This window comes from Homo sapiens, chromosome 1, assembly GCF_000001405.40.
Source record: "Homo sapiens chromosome 1, GRCh38.p14 Primary Assembly".
In the NCBI taxonomy this organism is placed as follows: Eukaryota; Metazoa; Chordata; class Mammalia; order Primates; family Hominidae; genus Homo; species Homo sapiens.
The window spans coordinates 95,080,238-95,089,273 of NC_000001.11; the positions used below are offsets into that span (position 1 = coordinate 95,080,238).

General features: G+C 40.7%; 3 annotated features.

The window, feature by feature from the left end:
• Nucleotides 4,172-4,892: a transcriptional cis regulatory region, noted in NCBI's record as "candidate enhancer chr1.7351 targeted for multiplex CRISPR interference". NCBI's record gives its function as "positively regulates TLCD4 gene expression with high confidence in K562 cells {active_cell/tissue: K562}" and the evidence as "EXISTENCE:mutant phenotype evidence [ECO:0000015][PMID:30612741]".
• Nucleotides 4,959-5,607: a transcriptional cis regulatory region, noted in NCBI's record as "candidate enhancer chr1.7352 targeted for multiplex CRISPR interference". NCBI's record gives its function as "positively regulates TLCD4 gene expression with high confidence in K562 cells {active_cell/tissue: K562}" and the evidence as "EXISTENCE:mutant phenotype evidence [ECO:0000015][PMID:30612741]".
• Nucleotides 6,785-7,249: a transcriptional cis regulatory region, noted in NCBI's record as "candidate enhancer chr1.7353 targeted for multiplex CRISPR interference". NCBI's record gives its function as "positively regulates TLCD4 gene expression with high confidence in K562 cells {active_cell/tissue: K562}" and the evidence as "EXISTENCE:mutant phenotype evidence [ECO:0000015][PMID:30612741]".

Here is a 9,036-nt window from a genome sequence, read left to right on the forward strand (position 1 = left end):
CTGAACTGAAGGTTTCTGCTATTTTCGATATGGCCTTTTTTATACATATATTTTCTTCAGGGTCCCCGCATTTCCTTTCTTTGTTCCTTCAGATCTAGGGGGTGGTACCAGCTCCACTGTTACTAGCCCTAGGTTACTGCACCATCCCTTGTTCTTTCCCTACCACATTCACACCTTTGTAAATAACCCCTTTATAACTCATCCTCAAATTAACCTGATACAAGTGTGCCACCTGTATGCTATTGGGGATACAGATACTGACTGATACAAGGTGATAAAACTACATGGCAAGTACTTTAAAGGAACTGGAGTTTGAAAGAAGGAGGAGAATGGTGTGGAAGCAGCAATAGAGAGAAAGAGGGATGCCCTCCCCGCCTCCTGTGGGAGTGAGAAACAAAAGGCTTCTATTTGAGAGACATACTGGGGAAGTGTGAGAGAGCAAGCCTTCAGCTTAAGAAGGGAAGTGAAGAAGACATTCAAAGAGAAGCTTAAGATAGAGGGAAAATTTGCAGGTTATAGCAGGATGCCCAAAAGGTGCTGTGAAAGGCTTTGAAGGGTGGTGTGGAACAGAGGTTGGGTCAGATTGGGGGAACTATAGAGATAGGAATTAGAATGATAATGGATGATCTGAGAGGCGTCTGAGGATTTAAGTAAATAGGAATGTAGGCAGGCTTTCAATTCATTTTAGTTCAGTTCATATCTATTAAATGCTGCACACTAAGCTAGGCACTGAGGGGTACAGTGGTAAGGTAATAACAGTTAACACCCAAGCAGTGACTTAACAATGAGCCTGACTGTATAAACTGCATGCCTCTTGACAGGGCCTCCTGGAGAAAAGTCATTCAACCAGTTCTTTTATGGGTTGCCTGGGAGTGTGGGCTGCTAGGGATCCTGGCAGCTAGGTCCCTTCCCAGCAGAGTTCAACCATCGTCAATCTTAATAAGGGTAGAAAAGTATAGATAAAAAAGAATGAAGCTTTTATGCAACAACCAGGGACACCACTTTGGTCAGCATCATGCCTGTCCATGACAAGGTAGGATAAAGCTGGAAGGGATTTCTTAGTCTGGGTCAGAGACAGAACTGGGACCATGTGACCACCAGGAGTGATGGTTACACACTTTGCTGTTAAAGATCATCTAGAAGATTGGGCAGGATGGGTGATAAAAATTGTCCTAGTACAACCCAAATAATCTTAGTTATAGTCAAGATTTTTTTTCCTTTTTAAATATACTAATGTATATTTGAGTCACAACCTTTTCCTGGATGAAGCCACTACCTAGGACTCTTCAAATGCTAGCCCTTGAAGGCTAAGGCAACTATTTAATACTTACCATAATGGGCATTCATTGTGTATTTATTATATGCCAGGTACTCCAAACATGGATTAGCTAATTAGACACTTCTGATACCCATTTGACAAACGAGGACACTGAGGTACAGAGAGATCATATCATTTGCTCTGGGTTACAAAGCCAGGAATTGGTAGAGTCAGGGTTTAATCATAGTCAGTCTGACTCTATAGCCCACACTTGTATCTTCTCCATTATCATTAAAACTATTTATTGTAGGCTGGGTGCAGTGGCTCATGTCTGTAATCCCAGCACTTTGTGAGGCCAAGGCGGGCATCACTTGAGGCCAGGAGTTCAAGACCAGCTGGCCAACATAGTGAAAACCTGTCTCTACTAAAAATACAAAAATTAGCTGGGTGTGGTACTGCATGCCTGTAGTCCCAGCTACTAGGGTGGCTGAGGCATTAGAATCACTTGAACCCGGGAGGCAGAGGTTGCACTGATCAGAGATGGCACCATTGCCCTCCAGCCTGGGTGACAGAGCAAGACTCTGTCTTAAAACAAAACAAAACAAACAACAACAACAACAACAACAAAAAAAAAAAACAGCTGGGCGTGGTGGCTTACCGCTGTAATCCCAGCACTTTGGGAGGCCGAGGTGGGTGGATCACGAGGTCAGGAGATCAAGACCATCCTGGCTAACATGGTGAAACCTCATCTCTACTAAAAATACAAAAAATTAGTTGGGCGTGGTGGCGGGTGCCTGCAGTTCCAGCTACTCAGGAGGCTGAGACAGGAGAGTGGCATGAACCCGGGAGGTGGAGGTTGCAGTGAGCCGAGATTGCGCCACTGCACTCCAGCCTGGGCCACAGAGTGAGACTCCGTCTCAAAAAAAAAAAAAATAAAAGAATGAAAGAAAAAAAAATTTATATTTATACTAGCTACTGTGCTATATATTAAATAAAACAAGATAGAAATATTATTTACTATGTCTGATTTTTCATTTATACAGTTAAATAGAAGGACAATGATTTTTTAAGTGGTTTTTTTAACATTTCTGTCAAGGATTGCTTTTCCTTTTTCTTGCTTTTTCTTCAAGTACATTCAAAAAGGATTCTCTCTAGATAGATAGATAGATAGATAGATAGATAGATAGATAGATAGATAGATTGACTCAAGCCTTGTTTAAGATGAATTTAGTGAAATTACTAAGACACAACAATTGCATTCTTTCTCTTTTTCACTTTATGTTGATTTATCCCAGATACATCTTTTCAGACATGTTTATAAATCCCTTGTCCTAACCTTGTACACCCCAAATGCTCCATCAGTTCCAAATTTAACAAAACATGAAAATATTATTTAAAAGGACATTCCCGGACTAGCATGGGAAGCATCATTCATACCACATTATAATGTTTATTAATGACAACCACAATAATAGCAACTTCTTTAATTTTCAAAGTGACCATTTTTTCAGTTTTTGACCTATAAGTAAAGTAAAGGCAATTATGTTTCTGCACTAAACATTGCTTATCTTTGAAATCTACTAAATTAATTTTCTCCTCAGCCGAGTCCTCCCTCCCCACAAAGCCTGTGTCTGGCATCCTCATTACGTTTTTATTTTCTCCTTCATTGTGTACATTGCCCTTTTTTCTCGAATTATTGTCTGCCGCCACAGAGCTTTTTGTTTTTAATAGAAACACACAAATTGTGTCTCTTCATTTTTTATGTATTCATTATTCCTTAACTTTATATGAAGAAAAAGCATGGCATACCTACTGTGAAAATCATATGCATAATAACACACACTGCCTACCATTTAGTAAGCATGTACGTACTTTCTCAACCACCTCTCACAACCATCCTATGGTCTTAAGTACTATTATTATCCCCATTCTGTAGGTGAGGAAATGGAGGTTTTACCATGTTAAATGAACACTGCTGGTGCTTTGACTTAACTTCCTGTGGATGTACCGTGGCCATCTAGTGACTTCAGGAATATAGTGATGTTGCTTAAGGGAATGTATTTAACAACACACGTTTTACAGTAAGAAGGAGGAGACAGCAAAATGAAAATTACGGATATGCTACTTAAAGGTTATTATTATTTTCTCTTGGAATTTTTGTGCAAATAACCAATAACACGTTACAACAGTAGAGAGACAGCTCTAGCTATGCCTCTTAACCTGGTTTCTTTTCAGCATTTCCATGACTTATTTAATATCCTGTTCATCTTTCATCAACATTAGGCTGATGAATCTTCATGAATACCTTCTCAATTTGTTAACAAAACAGGTTTGTTAATTTACTGACAGACTTTTTTGATATAAATCTCAAGTGACTTAGCTATTTCGCAAGCCTAAGATTCCCATCTCCTCTAAACCATCACTCCAGTGGGCTCTTTACTGATTATATTTGTTTGGGATAGGTTGAAATATAACCTAAATGAACCTGAGAAAGTATTCACACTTTGTAATACTGGATTAATATTTGCATATGGAACTGTGGAATAACTGTGTCTTAACTTAGAAATGTAGAAGAATCTCTAATTTCCCTTTCTGAAAAGATGCTAATAATCTAAACAAACTCTTTTATGGTCAGTTTCTTACATCATTTATCCTTTCCTGAATCTTGAACCACTGACTCTGTCTCACTGTGTCTTTACCCTTAGCCTATAAAACTAGCTCAAGTCTTTCCCATTAAAAAATAAAAGCAAAAATCAATAAAACCCTTCCTCAATCAGTCTGGCTCAGCAAAGCTCCTTTAAACTGCCAGACAGTCCAGCCACATTAAAATGGCACTCCAGTCTTTAAACCACACCTTTTATCTCTTCGCCAGAGTGCCTTTCCACTCCCATTCTATTTTTACGCAGTTGGACTATGTCTTGGAACTGAAGCCTTCTACTGAGCACAGAGCAAAGTTATATTTCAGATGTTGAGAGGTGATCATTCTGAACATGCAGTCAGGCAGCCTATTCTTGGTGAATTATATGGATGTTCCTGTCAGCATATGGAGGAAGCATGGCCCTCCCAATGACTCAGAAGTCATATATTGACACAGACTTGCCCTAGAATGACACTGTCCTGTGCATGCTGGGTACCTCTATAATATACTGACCCAAAGAGTGTCTGAGAGCTTGGTTGAAAACTAACAGGAACAGATCCTTTCTCTGATAAAGCTTGCAAATAAATGGGGCATATTAGGTTTGTCTTATCTTGGCCAACCTTCCCTGTCAGCTACCACTAGGTGGCTCTCCACTGATCTTTCTAAAAGGGTTGAGGGACCACTCAAGAGGGGGGATCTTCCAGACTTAGGTCTCACAAGGAGAACCATTCTCTTTACTCCCCTGATGCCTTCTCTCATCCTTGAATTTCTTTCTTCCAGACCTCAGTCTGGTGGCCTTGGCTACCTCCTTCAGAAATATTCAAGCACTTCCCACCAAAAAATGTAGACGTTTCATCTCGGTTTATTCTTCTGTATCACAATGCCTAAGACTTCATCTGAGTGAGTACGTCAGTAACTGGGGGTTTCAGCGGACTGTGAGCTCAAGCCCCATGAATAAGGTTGACGGTGAATCTGCCAATGGTGGTTGAATTCTCATACCAATGTGAGAAGTGAGCTGTGTCACTTAGAATGTAAGCACTCGTTGTAATAAAAAGCATTCAATTTCCTCAGAGACAACAAAATCTAATCCTTTCTCTGTGAAATAATATTTTTTAAAGGAATTTTGGCTTTATTATATAAGAACAAGAGATTCCTGCTTTCTCTACTACTTTGAAGAATTAGAGCCAACTTTAGAATTTGTTGACTCTGAGTCTCTTACGGAAGTTTAGAATGGAAGGTGGGGGAGGGGGCGGTTGAATATTCGAGTTTAGTCTGCCAAAGAAAGGTGCCTGAAGTTTATAAGATTTACTGTTGCTGATTCATATGCTTCTTCAGATGTATTTGTTTATTGACCCCTTCCACCTCAGTTGATGTTCTGAAAGGGTAGGGCTTTGCCCAAACTCCAGCTGTGGCTAAGGTGTTTTCTGGTCCTTCTTCATCTCTACACCCAATTTGGACCCCTGACTCTCCAGGGAACAAGCTATCTATCTCATGCAACAGTGGCAGTTACTGACTGTGAGAGTGGAGATAGAGGGTACTATCTCTGGAGGCCCCAAGATCTGGTTATTCTAAGTTTTAACCAACACATTCAAGAGAAGTTCTGAACTTTGAGAAAACTTTTCCAACCTAAGATACAGAGCACTCTGTTTTTCCGGCTGTTCAAGATGCATTTCTTTTCTTTTCTTTTCTTTTTTGAGGCGGTTCTTCTTCTCTCTTACCCAGGTTGGAGAGCAGTAGCATGATTGTAGCTCACTGCAGCCTTGAACTCCTGGGCTCAAGTGATCCTCCCACCTCAGCCCTCTGAGTAGCTGTGACTACATGTGCATGCCACCATGCTTCGCTAATATTTTATTTTATTTTATTTTATTTTTTTGTAGAGACATGGTCTCACCATGTTGCCCAGCCTGGCTAATCTTTAAAAAAATTTTTTTTGTAGAGACAGGGTCTCACCATGTTGCCCAGGCTGGTCTCAAACTCCTGGCCTCAAGAGATCCTCCCACCTCGGCCTCCCAAAGGTCTGGATTACAGGCATGAGCCACTGTGTCCAGCCAAGATGTGCACTATATGTATGCTGGGCAGTAGAAGAAGAACTGTGGACAACCCTGGGCAGTAGAAGAACTGTGAACAACCCTAGTCTTTTGGACTCTGTTGGGGCTTAGAAAACAATGCCCTGGAATATGGTACTTTGGCATGCCTAGTACCTTGAATTAAAGAAAATTGAAAGGCTTCGGAAATAAGACTCAGAACCAAGGTCTCTCTCTGACCTTTCCCTGCCCTTTGTCTCTGGGATCCTCTTTCTTTCTGAAGCACAGGGAGGGACTCTGTCTCTGGAATTTCCTTATCTGACTAGTAAAGTTTTTTTACAAAAGAAATGCAATTGTCTTAAGACCCCCTCCCTAGGAATTTTATCAAATAACCAGGAAAGAGGCTGGGCGCCGTGGCTCACGCCTGTAATCCCAGCACTTTGGGAGGCTGAGGCAGGTGGATCATCTGAGGTCGGGAGTTCTAGACCAGCCTGACCAACATGGAGAAACCCCGTGCCTACTAAAAATACAAAATTAGCCAGGCGTGGTGGCGCATGCCTGTATTCCCAGGTACTTGGGAGGCTGAGGCAGGAGAATCCCTTGAACCCAGGAGGCGGAGGTGTTGGTGAGCCAAGATTGCACAATGCACTCCAGCCTGGGCAACAAAGACTGAAACTCCGTCTCAAAAAAAAAAAATTAAAAATTAAAAAATAACCAGGAAAGATTACCACCGGATAAAAAAAGAGACTGGGAATCTTTGCCATGCTCAGACAGACTTTTCATTTATTCTTCTGAGGGCAGCTCCAAGAGATTTTCTGGCAGAATTTTTCTGTATAAGACAACCTTTGTTCACAGTGACGTTCTGCCCCTTATCTTCTGGCCACCTCTTCCAGAGTTCAGAGGAACTTTATTCCAGGCCATTGTTTTTTGACCTCATTCATTTCCCCTACACCCTGCTCCCCATCTCCTCTTCCCCTAGGAAGAAGAGTATATAAGCATCTGGACTTCACTGAGTTATCGGGTAACCACATTCCTGTGATTTCCCCCACCTCCAGCCCCCAGCTGGTTAAATAAACTGTGTATGCCCTTTTCTCCTATTAATCTGCCTGTTGTCAGTTCAGTTTTCAGCAAACCTTCAGAGGGCAAAGAAGAGTTCCCTGTTTGACCTTACAACCTACTACTGCTACCCCAGCTCAGTCCCCTGAGAGTGGTACTCATGCCAATGGAATTAGTCATTGCTAGTCGTCATCTTAACTGTCGGATTCTTTCTGTGAAAGCCAGTGTTCTTAAAAAAGACCAGGCTATACTTGCTGTCTCATTTTCCCTCGTTCATTTTCATTTCCCAATTCACTGAAATGTAACTTCTACCATAATTATTCTCTAATAACATCTGTATTTTCAAGTCCAAAGAATATTGCCTTTTTAAAAAATATATTATTATTTTTTTCTTTCCACAATAAGACATCTGAAAGCAAGAATATTTCCTTTTCTTATCTTTCTTGTCTTCTCTTAGCCAACTGAAAAAAACCTTTTTTATGAAATTATTTTCTTCTGTTGACTTTTTTCTTTTCTTTTAGACAAGCATGTTGACATTGACATAATATACCATTTTCTTTGATTCTCCTCATACCACTATTGTTCTATCTTTATATTCTTCTTAGGTCTCTCTTTTTCTATCTACTTTCCTAAAAATTACAAAAACAAAACAAAACTGTTGGCTGAGCACAGTAGCTCACACCTGTAATCCCAACACTTTGGGAGGCAGAGGCAGGAGGATTGCTGAAGGCCAGGAGTTTGAGACCAGTCTGGGCAACATAGTGAGACCCCATCTCTACAATAAAATTTTAAAAAAATTATAGCTAGGCATGGTGGCACATCCCTGTAGTCCTAGCTACTCAGGAGGCTGAGGTGGGAGGATCACTTGAGCCCAGGAGTTCAAGGCTGCGGTGAGCTATGGTGGTTCCACTGTACTCTAGCCTGGGTGACAGAGGCACACCCTGTCTCTTAAAAAAATAAATAAATAAAACTTTTATTTATAAAATATATTCAGAAAAGTACTTGAAATCATAAAACGGAAACGTGGGTACCCACCAGCTAGATTTTGCTGTATGTTTTTTTCAGGCTCTCACTTTCTTTTCGTCTAAGAAGCTTATTTATCCCCTTTTGGTCTTTGCATTTCTAAGGATTCTTAGCTATGGATATCTTTCCTTTTTACTTTTTGTGGCAGATTAATAGTTGTCCCCAGAAAACTGTTCTCCCCTTCTTGCTGGTCACGTGTTCACTCAGCTGGCAACTACATTTCTTATCCTCCTCTGCAGTGAGGAGTGGTTTTGTCAGTAAGTGCTTGCCAATTAAATATAACTAGGAGCAATGAATACAACTTTTGCCTTACTTTGTTAAAGGAAGATGGCTTGCCTTGGACTGCTTTCTTTCTCTTTCATGGACATGTCTGTGACCAGCTGTGATGATGAAGATGGGGAAGACATCCTAGAAGAGGGTGGAACAACAAGATGGAAGGAACCTGGATCCTCTATGACCTGAATTTTAGAAAGGCAAACCTAGAACAGAGCTGCTCTTTTATTCTAGGCCTGGCTGTTAGGTGAGAGGAAGAGAAACATCTATTTTCTTTATGTCACTGGATTCTGGGATCTCTTAGCCTTTACTCTAACTAATACAGAAATTGATACTTGGAAATGGAAAACTTCTAAAATCCAAAAACATAGTACTGCCTAAGCAGTCAGAAAATTGGCAGTGAGGAAACAGACCTCTCAGGCTGGGAAACTGTTGATCCTTGTTAGGATGTGATAAAACATTTGGTAAAAATGTTACCTATTTAACTTGGAAGGCTGATCATGTTCCTTCTGTAGTTGAATTCTAGGGGAAGCATTTGGAAGAGACCAGAATATAGATATATAATGGTTTCTCTTTGCTGCATTTAGCAAGGTTTTTCAAGAAAGCAATGAGCTCACATAAGAAATGATGGGTTTGCACGCAGGATGGAAGAAAGTAAAGAATGTACACTCTATGGCCACACCACCCTGAATGCGCCTGATCTTGTCTGGTTTTGGAAGAATTTACAGAATATTGGGGCCTCCCAGTATTGGAAAGTTCAATTA